Source organism: Homo sapiens, chromosome 3 (genome assembly GCF_000001405.40).
Source record: "Homo sapiens chromosome 3, GRCh38.p14 Primary Assembly".
Classification (NCBI taxonomy): Eukaryota; Metazoa; Chordata; class Mammalia; order Primates; family Hominidae; genus Homo; species Homo sapiens.
The window spans coordinates 114,358,350-114,381,372 of record NC_000003.12 but is presented as its reverse complement, the minus strand read 5'-3'; the positions used below and the strand labels follow the sequence as shown (position 1 = coordinate 114,381,372).

At 39.3% G+C, this 23,023-nt stretch overlaps 1 protein-coding gene and 1 long non-coding RNA gene across 19 annotated transcripts in view; one reads left to right on the top strand and one right to left on the bottom strand.

The window, feature by feature from the left end:
* Positions 1 to 23,023, top strand: part of ZBTB20 (zinc finger and BTB domain containing 20) — an 832,789-nt gene that overhangs the window by 765,916 nt on the left and 43,850 nt on the right. For 13 of the 18 annotated variants that reach the window (NR_121662.3, NM_015642.7, NM_001348801.3 and 10 more), the window contains one exon: positions 969 to 1,156. Coding sequence is in view for 5 of the 18 variants with exons in the window: in NM_001348800.3 (NP_001335729.1) it covers positions 586 to 596; positions 969 to 1,156 (199 nt within the window). In the remaining 13 variants the exon portion in view is untranslated. Of the gene's footprint in view, positions 1 to 432; positions 597 to 968; positions 1,157 to 23,023 lie in introns of all 18 variants that reach the window. The other 5 variants (NM_001348800.3, NM_001348803.3, NM_001393393.1 and 2 more) reach the window with 1 other exon arrangement.
* ZBTB20-AS1 (ZBTB20 antisense RNA 1) overlaps positions 1 to 23,023 on the bottom strand; it is a 37,168-nt gene that overhangs the window by 7,606 nt on the left and 6,539 nt on the right. Inside the window, exons 4-7 of the long non-coding RNA NR_038993.1 lie at positions 21,865 to 22,024; positions 14,492 to 14,677; positions 14,152 to 14,406; positions 5,537 to 5,579 (exon numbers count right to left, since the gene is read on the bottom strand). This is a non-coding gene — a long non-coding RNA (ZBTB20 antisense RNA 1). The remainder of the gene's footprint in view (positions 1 to 5,536; positions 5,580 to 14,151; positions 14,407 to 14,491; positions 14,678 to 21,864; positions 22,025 to 23,023) is intronic.

Sequence of the window (23,023 nt, the reverse complement as noted above, 5' to 3'; positions counted from 1 at the left end):
TTACTTCCTATTCCTGACCCCATATAACAATTAGTAACAATTACTTTCTAATTCCCTTCACCCTTCTCTTCCTCATGTCCCAAACACACAATCACACCCTAAACTCCAGGACGATGCACCAAATCAAAAATCTTAGGCGTAGGATGAGTAAAGAGTTGGAGTAGAAAAATCTCTGCATGACACCTTCCCTCTTTAGCTACTAGAATCTAAGCTCTTCTTTTCACTTTTCACTTGCTACTCTAACAGAAACCTCCCATCACTACCCCCTCATCCGTACAGGCTGCAAATTTAAATTGTGATTTGAAATTTTATTTAAAATAAAATCTTAATAAGAGCAGGAAAGTTGAATGTTCCTTAATGTAGTCCATGAGTAGAAATTTAAAGTTGGAAGGAACCTTTAAGGCCTTCTAATCCAAGCCCTTTATTTTACAGATGAGGAAACTGAAGCCCAGAGAGGTGAAGTGAGGTGCCCAAGGCCACACAGCAAGTTAGAGGCACAGCTAGTACGGTAGCTCAAGTCTCCTGACTCCCAGTCCAGTGCTCCTCCCATTACTCCACGAGTCCTGTCTCTAAGCTTCCTGACAAATGCTAGAACGGTAAAACTTCCACTAGTATTTTTCCAGACCATGTTAAAACTCCTAAGGGGGGAAGAGGGATGCTTTCTTGGATAATGTCAGCCATACGTAGCTCAAGCTGTCTAAAGTTCTGGGACAGGGTCTTTTTATGCAGCCAACAGAGTCCAAATGTGGTGCTGTTTGCTTGGCCCATATGCTTTCATGTGTTCCCAGTTAGGCCATTACTGGAGGGAAAAAAAACAAGAATCAGCTTGTTTTAAAACAAGGGACATACTGGACTCCCTCCCATCCCCCTTCAGAAAAAAAAAATCAAGTTATCTTTAACAGATTCTAAAAATGCCTTTTCCCAAATATGCAGTCAGTTCCTTCAAAGGGCCCTTTGTTTATTTTCAGGAAGAAACCCAAGACAGCTGAAAACCAGAAGGCATCTGAGGAGAATGAGATTACTCAGCCGGGTGGATCCAGCGCCAAGCCGGGCCTTCCCTGCCTGAACTTTGAAGCTGTTTTGTCTCCAGACCCAGCCCTCATCCACTCAACACATTCACTGACAAACTCTCACGCTCACACCGGGTCATCTGATTGTGAGTACACCACTAAGGTGATGGTGTCTTTGCAGTGCTTGGAGTAGTGCTTCTACCCTGGGTTCTGGCTTTTCTACTTTCAGAGCGAGCTCTTTGCATTTGGTCTTCTAAAGCAGCCAAAAGTAATGTGCCACCATTTTCATTCAGCCAATATCTATAAGTTTGCAAAGCTAGAGTGTATTTAAAAGCCAGGTGACATGCCATTTGGCCTTAAAGGGCTGATTAATTACATAAAACACGTTCTTTTCATAACACTAACCCAGAAAATGAAGTTTTGTTGCTGGTATCCATTTATTCTTGATCTGGATAATGGCACTTCCACAATTACTAAATTGAACAACCAAATGTGGACCTCAGAAGGCCAGTTAGACACAAGGAAACATCCATTTTGAAATTACATAACACAAGTCAGATTTGCATTAGTTATTGGAGTCTCATGTAGCTTGGCTGAATTTCTGTCTTTCCAGTTTTTAATTTATTTTGAAGTGGTTAAAGGATAGCATAAATTTACAGAAGAAAAGAGAATGGCTTCCAAGAATTCAGAAGCCACCCAGACTTCACACAGCCAATGAGAATCCAGGTTAAAAATATTTTTTAATTAAAAAAACTGCCTAAGGGCTAAATTTGGAAATGGGCAGCTTAATGAGATCGTCGCTATTGAAATCACTTCTTTGCTGTTTATTTTTGCCATCTTCCCACTAATCTGGGAGTCACTTCTTCTAATTCTATTTTAAGCAAGTTGATAAATCACGTTTAGGAGATTTTTTTCTTTTTCTGAAATGTAACCCAATACTTCAGAGAAAAAGAAACATGTGTGTTGACAATGGAAAGGAATGAAATAACTTTGGAGTCGAATCCAAAAGAATATTCCTTTTAGTCTTAACATACCCAACAACTCTTCTGAACTGATCTCCATAAAGGATGTCTGGTAACATGCAAATAACTGGCATATTCTTCTTTAAAATGAGTAACATAAGACCTGCAAAGTTTTATTTCAAAAATAAAATTTTGTCCACAAAGACAAAAATTATTAGGAAATGAGATTCTAAATCTTTTATTGTTATTTTTCTGACAGAACAAATGTAAAATTCTGCAAAGAAGGCAAGAGACAATGGTCCAGGAGATTCCATTCTCTACTTGCTTCATCATGATAGTCTCTAAAGAGAGGGAAATGAGCTGGCGGCAGGATTGGGGTGAAGAGAGCTTGTTCTATTTAAGGTTGGGCTAAGACCATATTCTAGCCGTCACTAGAAAATGAAAAGGGAAGTAACGTGAGACAAATCTCTGTGGCCTATGTGATTTGAACAGTCGAAGTTGAGGCTTCTATAGAGAAACCAGGGGGCAGAAGCAGGGACTGTGTTCTGAGGACCGTCCTAATAGTCACATCCTTGGACCTTCTTGCCTGGCAATCTTCAGTGTAATAGTAATGACAGAAAGAATTGGAAAGTAGAGTGGCACAGTGCCCATAGGCATGTGCACACTGTCCCTTCCCACCAGGAAAATAGCCCGTTCCTGTGGTGAAGGGCCTGGAGTTTCTACATGCAGGTCTTCATTACCCAGCTTTCTGCCACACCTTATGGGTATGGATTACATAGAATTGCCTTAGGCTAGAAATCTTCTGTTACAGCAAAAATGAATGTTTTGTGAATAGAAAAAGCATTGGGCTTCACTTATTGTGCTTTATCATAAGCATCCTCTGGCCAGGCCTTAGCATTGGCATGAAGTAAGTTTCAGGAACAGCGTGAGTATGGTGTCACCATACATCTCCTTGGTGGCCCTGGGGAAGCCAGTGGATGTGAGCTCAGTTGGAAAAACAAACCAGGAGGAGAAACCTGATCTCCAGCTGTTTTTAGACAGTCACTTTGATTTTGCCATTAAGATGTGTAAGTCTTCTCTGTTCCAACCTGTTGTTTAAATTGATTATACTTTTCTCCAAATATATTTGGATTGTAGTTTGTCCTGATTTGAGCCTACACTTAGAAGAAAATTGTTTTTAGGAAAGATTCACAGAAATCTGTCCATTTGGAGATTGCTTGAGAGAAGACAGGAAAAAGGTTTATTTTAAGCTGTTAAAATTTTTGGATGCTCTTCTTGCATTCAAGAGGATTTTTTTTTTTTTACTTTCAAATGTCATTCTTACCATAGATTAATTTAAAAGCCTAATTTCTTTAAGGTAAAATATTCAGTTCCTATTTAGAACTAACAGATTTGGGGCATTTAAAAATAGTGCCCTTGACTTGTTAGTCTCTTTAACTTCAGAAACATTCCACCAGTGTGTGTTGTTCCAAGCTTTCACAAGTGCTTGAATTTTTATAGCACCTTTTTATTTGTCATGTGTTTAGCAAAATTATTCTTAGTCATGATTTAATGCCCATATCCTGTCAGTATGATCCTTCCCAATTTACAGATGAGAAAACTGAGAAAATTGACACCCAGGTAGATGGAAGACTCGCTTGTGGTTAACTCATTTGGGTACCGAGGGGTGTTTATGGATTTGCTCTCATTGTGAGAGCATTTCTTATTGGAATTCTCTGTTCTGAGCCCAAAGACGGCATTCCTGGCTCTGAACAGGCATCTTGAAAATGTGCAACTACTCATATTGGTGACTGGGTTGTAAAACATGATGGATAAAGCATCGCCACAAAAGAAAAGTCAGCTCTGCATATGAACTGACATGGGTGGGTAAGCCACCATCTTTTTTGCATATGAAGGACACAGGCTGTGTTTTACAGCAAAGATGACAAGTCTGACCCCCTAAATTCTCAGTTGGCTGTTTAACCTCCTGAGCCTCTTCAAATTCGGCAAAAGATCCCAGTGGTATTCAAAACAAGAAGAAATATAGTTGAGATATGCTTTCTTTTGTGAGATGATGAGGTTAATATTGCTGCTAAAATGTATGTTGCTTTGCAGTGCGCCTACTAACACAATTTCCTTTTAGCAATATTCCCCCATTACCCCCTAGCTTACCACCTCTTCACCATTGCTAAAAATCTAATGGTAAGCAAATTCACATGGTGATAATGGAAGGCATTAAGATGAGTTATGGAATCTGAAGGGTAAAAAACACCCTAGGTGTTTGATAGAGCAGTTACTCACTAAGCAAGCTGAGTATGAGCTGAGCCAAGTGCTCCCTTTAAATGCTTAAGCAGGACTAAACCAAGTCAGTAAAGCAGACGAAGCTCTCCATATGAAAAACCTTTCTTGACAGCTATCAAGCTGTAGCACATCACAGTCATATACATGTGATAGACGCGACCAGAACTTTTACTTGCATATTTCTTCCATTTTGTTTTCCCCCAAATAAGGCTCCCATTGAAAGAAGTGATTTTCCTCCCTGTGGCCGTCCTCCCTACTTCTGCTGTAGATCCACCTATTCTGATGTCTTTCTTTTGTTGGAAGCTGATATCCATGGTGACTTACCTTCCCATGTTTTATACCGGCCTCATCAGACTGTCTCATTTTTTGTGTCTTTGCCAAGATGCACTTACGCATGAACAGTTTTTATTTATTTTTCATTGAACCTTTACACATTTCCAAACTGTTGTGTGGGTGGGTTTAACTTTAGCTCCGTAGGTAGCATCATTCTGCTGGGGCTGGACACTCACAGAGGCCAATGGGCTCTTCCTTTTCCAACTCTTGCCATCCACCTTCCTTGGCCTCCCCCTCCCAACCATTTGCTTCACCCGCCCAAGTCTGTGTGATTAAAATTTTTAGTACACTTGGCTCATTTTGAACTTTTAAGCAATTTTTTAGAGAACAAAACAGAAGATTTTTATGGCAAACTCCATTAATGCCACATTAAGGCTGACATTTTAATTACCCCAAAGTCAGGAAATGCAAAGTTCAGGTTCCCACAGCAACAGAAACTGTCCCCTTGAGTGCTGGCATCACAGCAGATTCTTTCATTCCCTGATTACACAACACTGGGTGTGGGGACATTGTTTTTATCCACGTATGTGGAAAGGAGCACAGCTTTTATCCTTTGATTTTTTTCCTGTAACTACAGTTGAGGATATGGGTCTTTAGCTTCCCTCCCAAAACCATCTATACGTATTATCCTGGAACGGAAGACTATTATAGCTCTACATGTGCACACGGACAGAATTAAAGTTGCTGTGGGAACATTAACTCTGATTTCCGGACTTCCGTGCCAGTCACATTTAAACCATAATGTTGTAATTTTTGGCATGTAATAAATGTGCATTTCATGTACACAGACAGAAAGAAGCATAAAATGTATTTTAAAGAGCAATTAATTACTAACTTTGTGATTAAAAAACATTTGGTGCATGTTCCTTCCCATTTAGCATCAGCTGCTGGTCTTAGCCAGGCCTAATAGATGACATACTGTGTCTCATCCTGTAACTCAGATGTACTTACTGTATGTTCCTGTTCTTCCAGATAATTAATTCCCTTAGTAAAGCTGTAGGGGGAAAACAAAATGGAAGGAATATGCAAGCATGTAAATAGGGTAAGGGATATTTCGAAGGAAATTATTCATTTCTGTGAATAAACCTTTTAGTCCCTGATAACGAGCCAGAAATCTGCTAAGTGGGTGTAGACAAAGGTTTCTGGCCATCTTAGAGCATCTGGTTCGGGGCCATTAGAACAACTTGAAAGCAGATTTCCCCTTGAATTGCAGGCATGCCCACTGGGGGAGTGATTTTACTCTGTAAAAACTTATAGGCTTAAGGCTTAAAAAGTTATTTTACTCTATAACAACTTTTTAGTCTATGCTGTATTCAAACTGGAAAGTAAAAGTTATAGGGAATCAGGTAAGATGAGGGCTTTGCTAAAGAACCCCTGACTTAAAGAGTAATTTTTTTTCTTCCTTTACATTTAAATCTGGTTTACCCATTTGTGTTAGAGAAGGCAGTGTTTCAAAATAACTGTTTGAACGGGTTTGTGATTGAAAGGCGTTAGTAGCAATACTCTATGGTGCCGTGTTTAAAAATGCGAATGCTTGAGTATATATTTGAAACCAGATGAAATAAAAAACTTTACTGAAAGGATGTATAGCTTAAACTCTAGGTAAGGCTTTAAGGCAGACACGCTCAATGAAGAACCTCGTGCTATCCGTTCATTCTGTCTCCTGTTGTGTATTTCTTTTTGTTCAGTTTGGTTGCATATGATATTTAACCTTTAAGAAAAATACTTCAGTTTTACAGGGCTCTGATTTGCTTTTACTTGGGCTGTCTGTATGTGTGAATGTATGTCTGTATGAGTGAAAACTGCTCAAGCAAGTTTGAAGGTCTCTTTGGCAAATTTGACTGCATGTTCAGAAAGTTTCCAATCGGAAAGCTGATTCAGTGTAAAACCTTCCAAAAACTTCCTGAGGCACCTGTTCACATGAAAAGATTGGATTTCTGTTGGAGGTGCTCAGAAGGCAGTGTTTATAACTGAAGATCTCTGTTTGGTGTGCCAAAAAATGAAAAACATTTTGGCCCCAGAAAACCTCCATAAATGTTCAAAATGTATAATCAAACAAAAGCTTCATTTGGATTCAAATGCATGTATCTCAGCAGATGTGTCTAAACTAACTGGAATCCCACAGGAGCAGCTGAACTGGATTTTGGTATGTCTTGATAACTGAAAGAGTTATTCTTAGACTTTGGAAGGACAAAAATGGTCCATCTGTGAAGAACCGTAATAGAGACATGGCAAAAAACAGCATCCTCTGAAAGAGTTTATTTATGGAATTTAGGACAAGTTGGACAATCCTGAAAACATTTTAGGGTCACACTAATTTGCAGAGAAAATATAGCCAAAATGGAATGGAATAACAACCACAGACAGTTACTATCCAATGGCTTGTTATTAATTTTCTAATAAATTCCGTATCAGTTAAGCAGTAATAGAGTGTCTTTGGTACAACTAAGTGCTCTCGTTGCCCCCAGTGTTCTGCATTCTGCTTTATTCTATGTTCTGTAAGGAATTATATATTTATCTTTTCATTTAAACTGTTTTTCTGTCATTTCATTGCCAAGTAAGCCCCTCATCTGTTAAATGTGGATTTCCTGTCATTAAAGATAGTCTTTCCCGTTTTAAAAAGTCACCTTTCTGCCTCTTAGTTAATTGATATATAATCTCTTTGGAATTTTTTCGTTACCTTTTATACCCTTTATTTAGAGATTTTAGTGCTTAGTCCAGCACTTATACATTGGAAGGCCAGTTCGTTTTTTTTATTTGCTCTAATTTCCTAGAGTTTCCACTTTGTGCATTTGGGGACACACTTATTTTAAAAAAGCACAGGTCTTGAAACTTTGTATCTTAATCTACCTCTATTTTTTAAATTGGCCCTCTTTTTATAAAACTTATTATTTCCCTACAACACCAATTTAACTGGGTTTCTTCCATAGTCACTTAATGCAGTAATTTCTGGTAGTCGTTCTTATTCATTCATTCATTTAGTCATTAATTCAGTCATTGATCAAATGTTATCAGATCCCTCATTCTGCACCAAGTCCTCAGCTAAGATTAGGGACGAAGATAGGAATAAGACCCCATCCCCACACTTTGGAACATAACGGGGTAAATATAAATGCAGAATTAAAGTGTTCCAGTATGCACAAAATGCTACAGAGCCCCCGAGGAAAGAGCCTCTTGAAGTGGAAAGAGCTCCACACCAAAAATGAAATTAAACTGGATCATAAAGGAGTGGGCATTTGTAAAGTAGAAGGCAGAAGTAATGGCATTCCAGGCAGAAGGAATAGAAAGAAGCAAAACCATAGAGGCACAAACAGAGCGCAGAGTTTTCAGAAAACAGAACAGTTCAGTTATGACACTGAGGCCTTCTTATACTTTGCCTCATTTTAATCATGGGAAGATTTGTATTTGGGTAACATTGTCTATTGTTATAATTCAGCTGAGCTGAATCCTATATCCATTTCAGAGACATTTGCTTTCCAAATATATAATAAAGCAAGACATCTACTTATTTTCTAATAGGCAAAAGAACCCTTCCTTCCACACAGCCAGTCAAAGTAAGAAAGTATTCTGAGGGGGCAAGGCGCAGTGGCTCACGCCTGTAATCCCCGCACTTTGGGAGACCAAGGCGGCCAGATCATGAGGTCAAGAGATCGAGACCATCCTGGCCAAATGGTGAAACCCTGTCTCTACTAAAAATAGAAAAATTAGCTGGGCATGGTGGCACGTGCCTCTAGTCCCAGCTACTTGGGAGGCTGAGGTAGGAGAATCGCTTGAACCCAGGAGGCGGAGGTTGCAGTGAGCCGAGATTGCACCACTGCACTCTAGCCTAGTGACAGAGCAAGACTGCATCTCAGGAAAAAAAAAGAAAGTATTCTGAAGGACCTAGTGATGATTTTGATCAGTAAATCACAAAATAAATTTTCTTTTTATTTTTCTTTTTTGTTTAAACAGGGTCTGGCTCTGTTGCCCAGGCTGGAGTACAGCAGTGCAATCTCAGCTCACTGCCACCTCTGCCTCCTGGGCTCAAGCAATCCTCCCACCCAGCCTCCTGAGTAGCTGGGAACATAGACTTGTGCCACCACAGCCAGCTAGTTTTTTGGGGGGTTTTTTGTTTGTTTGTATTTTAGAGGTGAGATTTGATCATGTTGCCCAGGCTGGTCTCGAATCCTGAGCTCAAGCAATCCGTCTGCCTCGGCCTCCCAAAGTGCTGGGATTACAGGCATGAGCCACCACACCTGGCTCAGAATAACTAATTGTTGAGAAAAGTTCATTCATGGAGCCAGAGTCACCTACAGGTGTCATGCTGGAACTTTGTCATGGATTTGTGGCCCTTCCCGACTCTAACAGTCTGTCCTCTTATAAAATCCTCCCAGGTCCCTTGGCAAGTCTGGTCTCAATGCCCATTGGCTCAAGTTACACTGTGTCATATTGCTCTCCCAAACAGTGCATAGATATGATTATCCACATGTAATTGTTAGGGCCCAATGCTGATTTTCACGGTTCTGTTCTTCATCTTGCCATCTCATCCCATGCAGGAATACATCTTTAATTCTTATCTACAGCTGCTAGTGACAGTTTCATGTGTGCTTCCTCTGTTCATGGCAGATTTCATTATATAAAATTAGTGCTTCTCCATATCTGTCAAGACTTCTCACATCCTTACTTAAAATAAAAGAGGCCACATGCACTACTGCCCTTAGAGTTGGATCATTTAGGATTGATTGAGAGCAAGCATGAGGATTCTTTAAGGACTTCTTGCTTTAAGGAAATTTCAAGTCGGATCTTTCCACCAGTCACCTCACACTAGGTACCATAATCACATACCTTATTACTTCATCAGCAGAATCCCTTTTTTTTTTTTTGCTTTCTTTTTTGCTTTTCTTCTGCCTCTGAATCATTTGTTCTCTCTGAGGAATGTGTGCCAGTTCTAACTTTTTATCAGCAGTGCAAGATTAAAGGTTACCTGGTCTATACCCATTATTGTACACATGAGAAAACTGAGGCCCAAATAACACAAGTGTTATAACGAAAGTTTCCCAGCATAATGAATGACAGAGTCAGAAACAGAACCCTGCCCTTTCTCCCACCATTTATGCTGCTTGTTACTAAGTCTGCTTCTGGACAAACTTAATGTTCTCTGAACAGAAAGGAGTCAGGACTATTCATCCATCAATATAGTGGATGCTTTCAATGTGGAGGACCACAGGCTAAGTATTGTGCAGGACGCAGTTTTATAAACTGGAGCCCTAGGCTCAGAGACTTAGAGTCTTGTAGAGAAGATCAAATAACATTCACAAACAACTTCCATGCAGCGTGGTTAAAGATATGTCCCCATACACAGAGACCCACCGGAGCATTGATTCACTCACTCAGCAAGTATGTATAGAATATATCTTTTGTGCCTGTCACTACAGTGAGTTCCATGAGGACACAAAGGTGGAGAAAAACAGACCCCACCACCAAGAATCTTAAAACAATATGTATCCTCACATCACCAGTATCTGAGAATTTAGAAAGTTTGTAAAGTATATTTTAATCCAGTTAACAGTAATATCTAGGTAGGTTTATTAGACATGGCTCCATTTGAGCTCTTTTGAAAGACTGGAAATGAGGCATCAGGACTAGGTATGAGGGGTTTGCACCTCTGTTGCAGAGCTGTGGAAGGGTGTTAAGTAGGGCCTACCATGAGCAAGATTTTGAGAAGATCTAATTTGGCAGCCTGGATGTGAGAAGGAGCAACTGGAGGAAGGAGAGGGTCCAGACAGCACTGTCAGTATTTCACACTATTGGTGACCTGAAGGGGGCGGTAATAGGAGGAATGGGGAGGATCCAGGTGCAACAGATTTTGTGGATGAGGGTAGACAGCTCTGGGAGCTGAGTGTTAGTTACAACAAAGGCAGTTATCAAAGATAACTCCAAGGTATCAAGTAAAGATGAAAAGCATTTAAAGGAATCAAATTGAATTCCATTTTATATAGTGCCGAGTATGAGCTACCACAGGTGTTCCCAGTGGAGACAACTAACACTGAGTTACAAACAGGGTCCTGGGGCACAGCAGGAATGCGTGAGATTAGGACTAGCAAACACTTTGGCCAAGAGCACTATAAGCCATAAATATGGGAGTAAACTTCAAAGAAGTCTTTGTTGAGAGAAAAAAGGAAAGCAAAACCTTGGGAAATATTTACATGAGTGATAAGAAAGAGAATGAAGAATGAATAAATAGAGGAAAAGAAAAGAGAGTTCTAAGGGATAGGAGAAAAACCAGGATAGTGCAGAGAGACCATCAGGGAGAGGAAGGATCAGCAGTCAGTATCAGGTGCCACAGACACCAACGAGGGAGAGACCTAGGAAAAGATTACCTTAGGTTTTGGGATTACTAGCCTCCTGATTGTTGTCAAGAAAACAGAATCAGATGTGTCACAAAAAAGACCATAAAGAGGGGTTCAGGAGCAAACATAGGATAAATGGGAAAGCAACTATTACAAAGTACAAGTTTAATGTTTTAAAAAGAAATAATGAATGGGTAACTCAAAAGTGGAGTAATGAATATTTTTATGATACAAGAGTTCCTAGCCCATTATAGACTGAGAAAAACCAGTGTTAAGGGAGACTCTGCAATTAAATAGGCAAAGTGAGAAGGAATTAGATCTTCCATTTCACAGGGCAATTGGAATGGTAAATATATGTGAAAGGAATTTGAAGGCACTACCCAAGCCCAGTGAGGCAGTAATTATATTATACTGGTTCTTTCTCTACTTCTTCTCAACATTGCTTTCTATTATTTTTTATGAGAAATAATGTTTTACAAGTATTATTACTTCACAAATATTAACTCAGTTCCTTACCCTCAGTAACCTCTGAACACTAAGCAGAGGATAGGTGTCATACACTTTGAACATTTAAATCATCTTAACAATTTTTAAAACAATTTTTAAAAACAATTGTTTTTGAAATGACAAAGCATAATTCTTTAAAAGCCATGTTCTGTGTACTTCTTTCATGATATGCCCAATTCAGGTAGCTCTGTAATTACTAATAACAAACCTATGTGTTGTTCTCAAGGCCACCTTCATTGTCATGGGACATCCTCAAATTCATTATTTGTAGGGAGGGTTTCAATTTGTTTACTTAAAGTATGCTGCTTTCTGTGATGGTCCAAGACATTCCAAAGGCCAATCCCACCTGTACACAAAAGTATCTGATATACTTCTACTGTAGGATGGTGATCTGGAACCAACTGAATCAAACGATACTTTGTTCTACTATTAAATTACCTGTAAAACTAAATAAGGAGATTATTTTGTCACTACTGAAAATTATATAAACAACCACATGGAACAATGTTGAACATGAGTCTTTATAATTTCACAAGGCCAAATGAATTTATAGTTGATGTCAAAATTGACCTTGAGGAGTTTTTTCCTTTCCTCTCCAATTCTAAAAATGAGTTTCCTCCTACTTATTTATCCTCACTAGTTTTAGCTTGGTTATGTTATCAGTTTTATACCAAGATATTAGACCAAAGAGTACAGAATTTTTAAAAAAGCTTGGTGTGGCATGTAGAATACTACAAAGAATTTCAAAAAGCAGTAACTGAATTAACTTTGTCCTTCAATTTTTTACTGTAATCACGTTCTTCCCTATATAATCACTGATTATCTCTTTGCCTCATATCTTAACCAGGTATTTAGATGTAAAGGAGACAATGAAAGAAAGGTGCATATAAGTTTGAACTACAAAAGATAACTCTGTGTCTAATGGAAAAGACACATGCAAATTCTAAACTAAAACTTTTAGAAGTTAACCCCAGGGTAAAGGATACATGTCATTTTCTCAGGGAAATACTGTAGGTCTTTATAGGTACACCTGACTGGATTTTTTCCAATTTTCATAAATCTAGCCCATTCCATTTTCTTCCTGACCTAAAGGTCCCAGATGGGTGACTAGATCCTGGGATTCCTGAAGTGGCCTAAGTAATCCTGGGTTGACATGCTAACAGGCACTGCAAAGCAGGCCTGGTTTCACTGGGCAGTGATACAGGCAAAGCGTGCCCCCACTTCCAGCCCTGCTCCAGAGCAGGAGTTCTTGACCTGGAGGCCTTGGACTCTACTGGTACCATTACTGGGCCTTTCTTTTAGAGGTTCATATTCTTTCCTGCGTGTTGTTCTGGGACACAGGTTTAAAGATTTTGTTACATTAGGGTCAGAGAACTAACAGAAGGAAAAAGCCACTTCCCCAGGACATATCCTAATCAGAATCTGCACCCTCAAACCTGGCACCCAAGAGTGAACTTAGAAGCAATGAGGAGAGGTCCCTGTGAACATCCCAATGCAGAATGGCTCCTGATGTCCTCTCGGGTCCCTCCGATATGCCTTCAGGGTGGGGGCAGGTATGATAACAGACTGCTAAAGCTATTTCTTGAACATGTTGCTAATGGACTAAGACTGGGGCTATGTGTTGTTTTCCAATATTCAGAAAATATTTTCTCACCCCCATGGTCTACTTATTTGCTCTTTTTAACATGAACTTCAGCCTATGAATGCATTTTATGTGCCTTTAATTAACCTCCCTATGTTTCCATTTCCTCATGTGCATAATTGCATAATGAGAATAAAAATAGTATGCATCTCATAGGGTTATTAGAAGGATTCGATGGAACACTACATGTAAAGCCCTTAAAGCAGCACCAGAAAAACAGCCAGCGCTCCGTGAATTTGAGTGTCGGCTACAGTTTTAAGTGCTTGAAAATTATTAATATGAACTAAAATTGATGCAGCCTAAGTGAAAGTTGTTGCAGGTCCCCATCCTTTCCCCCTGAGAACGACTGAGGCTGAAAAGCCCTAGATCTATGGGAGGAGATTGTGTGTAAGACAGTTACATCCTTCACTTCGAGGAAAAGCCAGTGCCCTTCTTCTTGTCCCTTCTTGGATTCAGGCCTGAATAGACTGGGAAGTTTCTCCATTATCTCTTTGCCTTCTTTTATTCCCCCATTTGTATGTTTTTTTTTCCTAAAAATGAAAGAGGACTAATATGCATAATCTTATTACAAAACACCCCATTTACAGATAAGGAAACTGGGGCTGAAAGAAGTTTCAAATCTCTCTGAATGTTGTCTTCTTGGTATAGGGAAGGGTTAGAGTGTTATTAATATTATAGCATTACATTCTAGTGTTAACCTGTTAAGTTCCTTTTTGTCTTCAAGTGCATTCTAGTCAATAAGAGATTTTCACGCTGGGCATGGTGGCTCACGCCTGTAATCCCAACACTTTGGGAGGCCAGTGTGGATTTATCACTTGAGCCCAGGAGTTTGAGACCAGCCTCAGCAACATAGTGAAACCCCATCTCTACAAAACAGTTAGCGGGGCATAGTGGTGTGCACTTGTAGTCCAGCTACTTGGGAATTTGAGGTGGGAGGATCACCTGAGCCCAGGAAGTTAAGGCTTCAGTGAGCCATGATCATCCCACTGCATTCCACCCTGGGTGACAGAGTGAGATCCTGTCTCTAAAAAATAAAAAAAGAAGAGAGATTTTCAAATTATAGGGAATGGACTTGTGTGCTCTCTTACCTCAGAATACATTGTAGGAGCTGTACATTTTCCTGTGTGCACCCATCTACAATCTGTCCATTCACCTTAGGTGCCCTTTCACCGTAGCTCCTTCCAGCCGGGATACCCGAAGAGGGCAAAACATCAGATCCTTAGAATGTGCAAACTTCTGTGCTACCATATCAGAGAGCCCTTTGCAAAGACAAATACTTACAAGTAAAGAAATGCATCTTTTATTTTTTTGAAAGTCCGTCGGCTTGATGGCATGAGAGTTGTCTGAAATAATTCAAAACAGAGGTAAACTTAGAAGAGTGAGTTTCACTTCCGAGGAGGATTGCTTGTAATCACCCTGCTTACTTACCTTCTTCTATTCTGAAGCAGTCTGCAGTAGTTGGGAAAAGTGTAATCTTAAGAAATTCAGTAACAGTCACTGGCTCATTGTACCTGGTAAGTTTTCCCCGTGCCGTGGTGCCCACGGTTTTTGGTAATGCATGGAGATAATTTCGGACGTCTGCTTCTCTTAACTCCTGAGCACTTTTGCTTCTCACTGTAGAATTCCAGAGACACATGGGTATGGAACTTGATCTAAAAGCCTCCTAGTAATAGTTGCAGATTAGATTGAAAGCCAAACTAGACTGTACACAAGTCTGTATAAATCCCAAAATAGAGCTTTAAAATAATAACTTACTGAGTCATGATTTCTGCATCTCATATGCAGTATTCCTTAAATCACATGTTGATGGCTAATCAACAAAATCCAAAGACGCAAATTAGATGGTACAATATTTACAGAGAAAATATATGTGTAGTTTGAAAAGCAAGGATTCTCAGGGTTACAGTCCCACCCCCATTCCCCCCAGAAATGATAGCAGTTGCAATCTGAACTCTCCACATTGTAACCAAGAAAGGAATGAATATAACAATGGAAAGAGAGAGATTTAAGATAGAACTTCTTAGTTAAAGGAGTCTGGACCTTCAAGAAATATGTTTAAGAAAGATTCAGAAGAAATACTAGGTAAGATGAATTATTCCTTTTTCTCAAGTAAAATTCTAGCAGCGTACTTGTTAAATGTTTATTTTGGCCAGGTGACAGAATTCAGGAGGGCGGAATCTTGTTTACCTTGTCCACTGCTGAATCCCTAGCACCCAGCAAAGTGCTTACACAAATTAGGAGTAGGTGCTCAGCAAATGTTTGTTGAATGAATAAATGAATGTTGTGGGGAGAATGAAGCTAAAATAATGATGTAGTGCATTTGTAAGCATTATGCCCATTTGTGAAAATATAGGTACTAATTTTTTACCCGATTATTTTTTTCATTCAGCAGACCTACAAAACAAAGTGTATCACAAATACCCTCTGCTTTTCATGCTGGGGAAACAGAAAAGCTTTCTTTTGAATGTAAGCTGCTACATGTTTTAATTCTAATAGCAATATGGCAGGTCAACTTTGTAGTATAATCTGGTGCCTGTTTTTGATAGATACCATGGAAATAGATACTTATTTTCAAGATGCTCAAACAGATGATTAGGCAAAAGCTCTAGCAAACCTTGAAACAACAAAAAGGAAAGGTTTTCCCACTCCCACCTCCCGTTACTGTAACATCCTGCACAGTTTTCTGCAACCCCACATCCTCCTCCTTGTTTCATCTTTTTCCTGGGTCTAATCTTTGTCTAGGGAATACAGCATGTGACTGTCAGTCTAGCAAGGAGATAGTTCTTGAGAAATCCACCCCCTACACACTGTGTTCCCAAGCTCCTCTTACAGGAATGGCATGATTTGATCAGCAGCAGGCAGAGCTGGCCCAGGGAAACAAGAGCTTGGCATAGAAATCTTAGTGCCCTCCTGCTGGAAGGGCCCTCAAGAGAGATGCTTCATGCCCACCCTCCCTCAACTGGCTGGACAGTAGATGGATGTGTAGGAAAACAAATTCCTGGCTGAATGAATAGAGGATTAAATGAATGAGAGATGAGTTCACTCCTCCAGAAGTCCCCGCCATCCCACTTGAATAGAAAGGCTAACTTTGAAGCCACTCTGTTCTCCATGGCACTATTTTATGTATACTCAGCTTTGGAATATGGTTGCCATCTGCTGCCAGTGCTTAGGACTAAGGAAGTATTGGGGTGGGTAGGAGGAGGCTGGGAGGGAAGAAAAGAGACACTTAAAATGAGCTAATGATCTCCTTTGTGTTAGAGCCTAGGTTTCAGAACATCAATCCTGTACTTCAAGAACAAAACACCAGTGTGTCTTAGACCACACCAGGCGCCGGCACATCAGATAAAGCCTGTGCTGTGTGGTGTTTAGCCACCGAGCCTAGAGAAGTTCTAAAAGTGAAATTACAGGTGCAAACTGAGGAAACTAAAAGGAGAAAAGGCCAAGGGTAAAATACAATCAGGAGGGCTCTGCCGATATGTATCTTTGGGGCTACAGTAGTTGAAAAATGAATCTACTAATTAATCAGTTGGATAATACTATAAAAGCAAGGAATTTAAGGATCTTTAGAAGAAATGAGACACTTTTCCATACACTCTGAGCATATTGTGAGCCTTTAGTATAATCTCAGGGTGAAAGTGACCTGGCTATTGTGTATTGCTGTAGACGTAACTGTTGATTAAGTGTTAGAGATTGCTGTACTAGAGGCATGCATGGTGGTCCTTTAAAAACAGAAAAGGCTGTTAAGCTCAGCTAGTAAGACAATCGAACATATCTGAACGGCAGAGAATAGCTCATAGAGCTTCCTAGCTTCCCTGATGTTGTTTGCATAAATTGTTGGGGGATGTTTGTTTGTTTGTTTGAGACAGAGTCTCACTCTGTTGCCTAGGCTGGAGTGCAGTGGCATGATCTCAGCTCACTGCAACCTCCGCCTCCAGGGTTCAAATTATTCTCCTGCCTTAGCCTCCTGAGTAGCTCGAATTATAGGCATGCGCCACCATGCCCAGCTAATTTTGTATTTTTAGAAGAGACGAGGTTTCACCATGTTGGCTAGGCTGGTCTCAAACTCCTAAACTCAAGTGATCCACCTACCTCAGCCTCCCAAAGTGCTGGGATTGCAGGTGTGAGCCAACATGCCTGGTCAAATTGTTGGTTTTGACACAAAATCATATTGATAATTTATGTACTGAAATAACATGCCAGAGAATAGTAATTAAGCTGGGGATGTATGCTAGTGAAAAAAAAAATATTACAGTGAAGTTTATTTTGGGAAAGGATTAGCTAATTGGCTAGGCATGACATTTGAAGGCCATGTACTGTTATGTATTCAATAGTAGGCCTGTATCTTGAATTGGAGGAAGGCTGAAATTTCTTTTTGCAAGGGAAGAACCTCATCAGCGATGTATATAAGTATAAATTTAGAGACAATGACAATCCTAGAAATGCAAAATACCACTTTAGGGAGCAGTAAGTGATTGCTGAGCAGTGTGTCAGACTCAGTGTCTGAGAGCAGCAAATCAGAACATATTTGTTGGCTGTGTGAGCTCTGGCCTTGACTACTGTCTTCCAGCAGGAACAAGTCATATACAACTGTGACTCAGCCTCAATTAGAATACTAGTAATGCCCTAAATCTATCTCATGTACAGTTTCTCTTCCTAGGAACCTTGTGTGCCTCATATTCTATTTGTCCCTACAACATCCCTGTGAAGCATACACACCTTTGTTTTACAGGTGGGATAACAGGTCCATAAAGGAATAGTTTAATTCTTTGTCTTCAAATGTGAAATGATTGATAATCAGTATACTGACCCAGCTCATTGTAATGTTTTTCACATTATTTCAGGTTTCCTAGGCAAAGGACATATTTTATCTTCTCATTATTATTTTTAATTAGTTTTCAGAAAAGGTGAGATAAAAACAGAATCTAACAAATATCCCATAGAGATATTTGGTGTTCTCTTTTCTTTCAAGAATAAATTAAGACCTTCTCTGCTCCTCTCTGCTGGCTCTCTCGGCAGATAGTCAAAATCCCATGCCAATTTTCAAATGAATAAGGGATCATTCTAATAGCTGATCACAGTCCCCTCTGTTGAGGAAACAGCCTTTAAAATTCATGTCTGGACCCTGAATAAGTTACTCTTGGTTATAAACTTTTAACAGTTTGACCTGAAGGTTTTTAAACTGTACTAATATATAACCTGCTTGTGAGTTCAGCAATAAATTTATCCCCAGTATGTGAAGGGCCAAAGAGAAAACTAGTGTCTTTTATTCTCTCCAGTGACCTTCACTAAATATTGCATATTTACTTTGTAAATGAGGACACCCAGTGGCCACCAAGAGAAAATATTCTAAACAATCCTTGACACTACTGTTAATGTACATATAAATACCCTGTTATCAATGCTGATTGATAGATATTTCTGTAACATCTGTTACCAAGCAGGTTAGCTTCCCTAACATAGGCAAAAGTGATCGGAGTTTGGCCTGATCATTTTTCTATCACATCATAGATTGGTCATCTCTTCTTATTTTTTATTACAAAGTATGGCTTAGCTTTGGGTTCCACTGAATCCTCTGTTGACAGGGGGACCCAGTGAGCTGTCTCTCTGGGGAAATGGAATCAGGGAGACAGAGACAGCATGGCATGTATCAGAAATCATAAATGAATGAGCAGAGTTTGTGGGCAACTCAGTGAACACATAAAACAATTGCTTGGACTTTAAATTCTATTGAAAATAGAACTGTGGGTAGGTAGGGAAATAAAGGACAAGAAGAAGAGCATTACACAGAACTTCAGGGGCAAAAAAGCCCTGTCAGGACCATATCACATAGACATATCTCAGAGTAAATGTGCGCCCTGAGGTTCCCACTTGTTTGTGAAGTGTAGCGAAGAGCTGACCAAACAAGCACTCACATAGAACCCACACATTATAAAGAAACATGCTGGGCACAATGAGGGATCCAGTTACATATTTGTAGTTGTCATTGTAGTTGTGGTTATAACAAGACAAGATACTAGCCTTTGGGAGGCTTTGAGTCTTAGAGAGATAAGACAGACACAAATGAAAAAAGAAACAATAATATATTGGTAAGAACTAACTTAGGTGCTACATGTATAGGAAGTTCAGGTGAACTTCCCCAACACTCCTCAACATTCAGGTACAAAAAAATTCCCGTATTTTTCTAAAGAAAATTAAACCTGAGGCCCCTGTCACCAAATTCGCAAGAAATACAGACAAGTTTTGGGGCTCCCTTCTCATCCCTAGATTGGTACAAGACTCATTAAATCTAAGTCCTTAGTCCATGATGGTCTCCAACATTGACATTGCTTGACCACCCCACAAAGATGCCATTGAGCCTCGTCCTTCTGACTGCCAGCACTACTGCACTAGCTGGGTTTACAGATGCCCTCCACAGTGGTCCTTGCTGTTGACCATTGGCCCAGCCCCCAGATGATCACTGTTCCTCTCAAAGTGGTGCCTTTTTATGTCCAGCCTCCAGAAGTGTGCCAAGCAATTACCCCAACTGGAGCTGTATGCAAGTAGAGACCTTGCTACCTTCTGCATTTGAGGGAAAGTGGATTGTTTTTCTCTCCAGTAATGCTATCCAATTCTCTAACTCCAAAGCATCAATCAGCCTCACTCTCCTTACCCATTCTGGGTTAATAATTCATTTTAGAGAACAGACATTAGGAAAGAAAACTCTTTGTTTTATGGTTTATTCTTTAGGGCTTAATGGGCTCTGAAACCACAACTCCCTGAGGCAAAGGAGCCTATAAAGTATACAAAAACCTGGCCATTCATTCCTACAGGTGGAGGAAAGGGGAGATACCTTCTCATTAAGAAAGTTTTCTAATTCAGTGAGAACAAGCCAAAAATGAATGTCTTAGTTTATTACCTCACCAACCAGTGGAAACCAAGAAAAGTGAACTCTAGTAATCACAGAAGGCTTCACAGAAAAGGAAAAAGTTTGAATAAGGTTCATGGGGATGATAAGAATTGGTGAGGAGAGAAACCACAATAACTTCAGAACTGCGGAAAATTCAGCAGAAGAGAAGTAAAAATGAATGTAATCCACACACAGGAAAGCAAAATGGCCAACCTTTTGGATTAGCACAGAGATTTTATTTTAGAGAAAATCAAATCCAACCAAATCAGTGAAGTGAAATCAGATAATTTGAATGTTAGCTATAGCTATAGGAGACTTCTATAGCTCAATGTCTTTTTTGACAATATGTAAATAATATAATAAATATTATACAAAAGACTATATAAAGAATATCATAAAGATAAAATGCCTACTTGTGATTAAAATAATTATAAAGTATGCCTTCTACTTTACTTATTTACCAGAACCTCCCAAGGTTTTGAGTTCTATCTGACAGCACTTATTCTTCATCTCAGTATGAGCCAAAAAGGAACTTAGGTCCTATTCTTTTTTTTAATGATTTCCCGTGCCTGGTTCTATACCCTAGGTGCGCAGATGAATTTCAGCTACTCTCTTAACCTAGCCCACACAAATCATCTCAGTGCTTCCATTTTAACCAGTCATCCAACAAAACAGATTTACTTTTTTCCTTGGCTTTTCCCTGTTGCTTTGGGATAGAAGGTCTTTACTCCTCAGTGAACTTATCTATCATGGCTCAAGTCCATAGAGAAATTGGCCGGGCACAGTGGCTCACGCCTGTAATCCCAGCACTTTGGGAGGCCAAGGTGGGCAGATCACAAGGTAAGGAGTTCGAGACCAGCCTGACCAACTTAGTGAAAACCGTCTCTACTAAAAATACCAAAAAAAAAAAAAAATTAGCCGAGTTTGGTAGCACGCTTGTAATCCCAGCTACTCAGGAGGCTGAGGCAGGAGAATCACTTGAACCCAGGAGGCAGAGGTTGCAGTGAGCTGGAGATCGCGCCACTGCACTCCAGCCTAGGGGACAGAACAAGACTCCGTCTCAAAAAAAAAAAAAAAAAGAAAATCTTGCATTCCCCTCCTACCAACAAACAGAGATACTCTTGAAAAACAGCGGTCTCATTGGAAGCAACTTTTTTTTATTTGTTAGAAAGACCCAAGGGAAGAGAACATTTGAGCATGAATTTGAAGACCTGCTTCAAAAGCAGTTTCAGAACAGCACAGCAACAGAGGACTAAAGGAAGTTCTATGAATTGGGAACTCAATGATATTTTTTGCCAGAAAGCTTTTTTTTTTTTTAATGACACTATTGAGTTCTGTTTTCTCACTCGTTTAAGTCCAGAGAAAAGTTTTCCCAAAGTCAAAAAATCAGTTTCTTACCTAACTATAATTCATCAGTGTGTGATGATATTCTTTAAAGAAATGCCATACCTGAGAGTTATACTGAATCTTTGAACTCACTGAATTTATAAATCTGTTTTTTCTATAAAATAAGTATATGATTATGTAGAGACCACAAGAACAGATTATCAAGTAAGAAGATGCTGGTTTTCATATACTCAATTTTTAAATTTGTGATTGCTTCTTAAGCAAAACAAAAGACCTAACTTATTAACTGTACAATTGAATATACAGATCCTTCTTTAAGGTCTATTCAAAGCCAAGTTCAAACAGCACAAATTTGTGAATTTAAGTAGATCCTTTGGTTCATTTTTGTATACCACCCACGGATGTAGCATCTCTGTATTTTTGTTCCCCAGATTTAGTGAACAAAGGAAAAGGTTACAATAGGGCAGTAGCTAAATTTGTAAGGAAAGCGCTTTAGAGAGAGAAAAAATGAAACTCCTAAAAGGTGTCTCAAAAGGTTTACAATATAAGAGGATTTAAAGGCATCAACCTCAGATTTCATTGACTTTTTTCCTTAGTCCCAGCAAGTCTTCTCCCCCTCATTTCATTTCAACTTTGGAATGACGGCGTAAGTGTCTTTCAGAATGTTGTCTGGAATTATCTATCCAATTCTTTATTCACAGAGTAAAACTTAATTTTCACAAACTGTACTGTAAAGTAAATTTCAACAGTTTACCTCATTGGAATCAGATGCTCAAAGTATAAAAAATTCATAAAGCATATAGTGTGATAATACTCAAGACTGAAGTTTTAACTTATGGTTGGAATTGGTTTCATAAAGTGGATGCTCAATTACTTGTTGATTGATTGATTATGCCCTCACCTCATAAGTAAGGGATTTGAGGTAGCTTAAATTAATATTCAATTGTTAATAAATATGTAGGAAATGTATTTCTATATAACTACAAAAAAAAAGAAATCAGAGTAGAGGTAAAATAAAGAATGGATAATATAATGAGGCTGGTGAAAATTTTACATAGAAAAGCATACCATGAGGTCCTACATAGTTGCTAAAAGGGGGCCTAAATTTTTATTCTGAGCTCCCTAGTGAACAGAGCCAAGAGGGAAACATGATCAGTTATGATATTCACAGGCTCCACAAAGAAAAGCAAAACACAGCTTTTCCTGAGCACTGAGGTCTGGGAGAAGTTGATTGATTAATATATGTTTCCAATATCAAAGATCCTTATGGATAAATTTCTTCTATTGATTTAGATTTAAGATCCTTTGTATCCTTATGGTTCCATTTATACTGGGGTATTCTCAGTAAATGTTTCACTAATGAATTGGTGAAAATTCAAGTGACCCCCAAAGCAGCTTCATTCATAAGTCAGTTGTATTTACAGTTTTACAATATGGATAGGCATGCCCTCATCCTTTCTTAGAGAGAACAGCAGACTTAACATAAAATCAGGCAAGCCAAAGGCCTGGGCTAACCAAGGGAGACTGTGAGACCTCTAAGGCCAAGTAAAAAGACTTTTCTGGAATTACTTTCTCCTTTGGACCTGTAAAATCCCACTAGTACTGTAAATCTATTCTCAGCCTTAGATAAAGTATAAAGCTCTTATTTTTTGGTGGAGTGAAGAGAGGAAAAAGAAGTCAGGAATGGAAGATAAGTCAAGATTTGGGGATGGGCCTGAAAATCACAG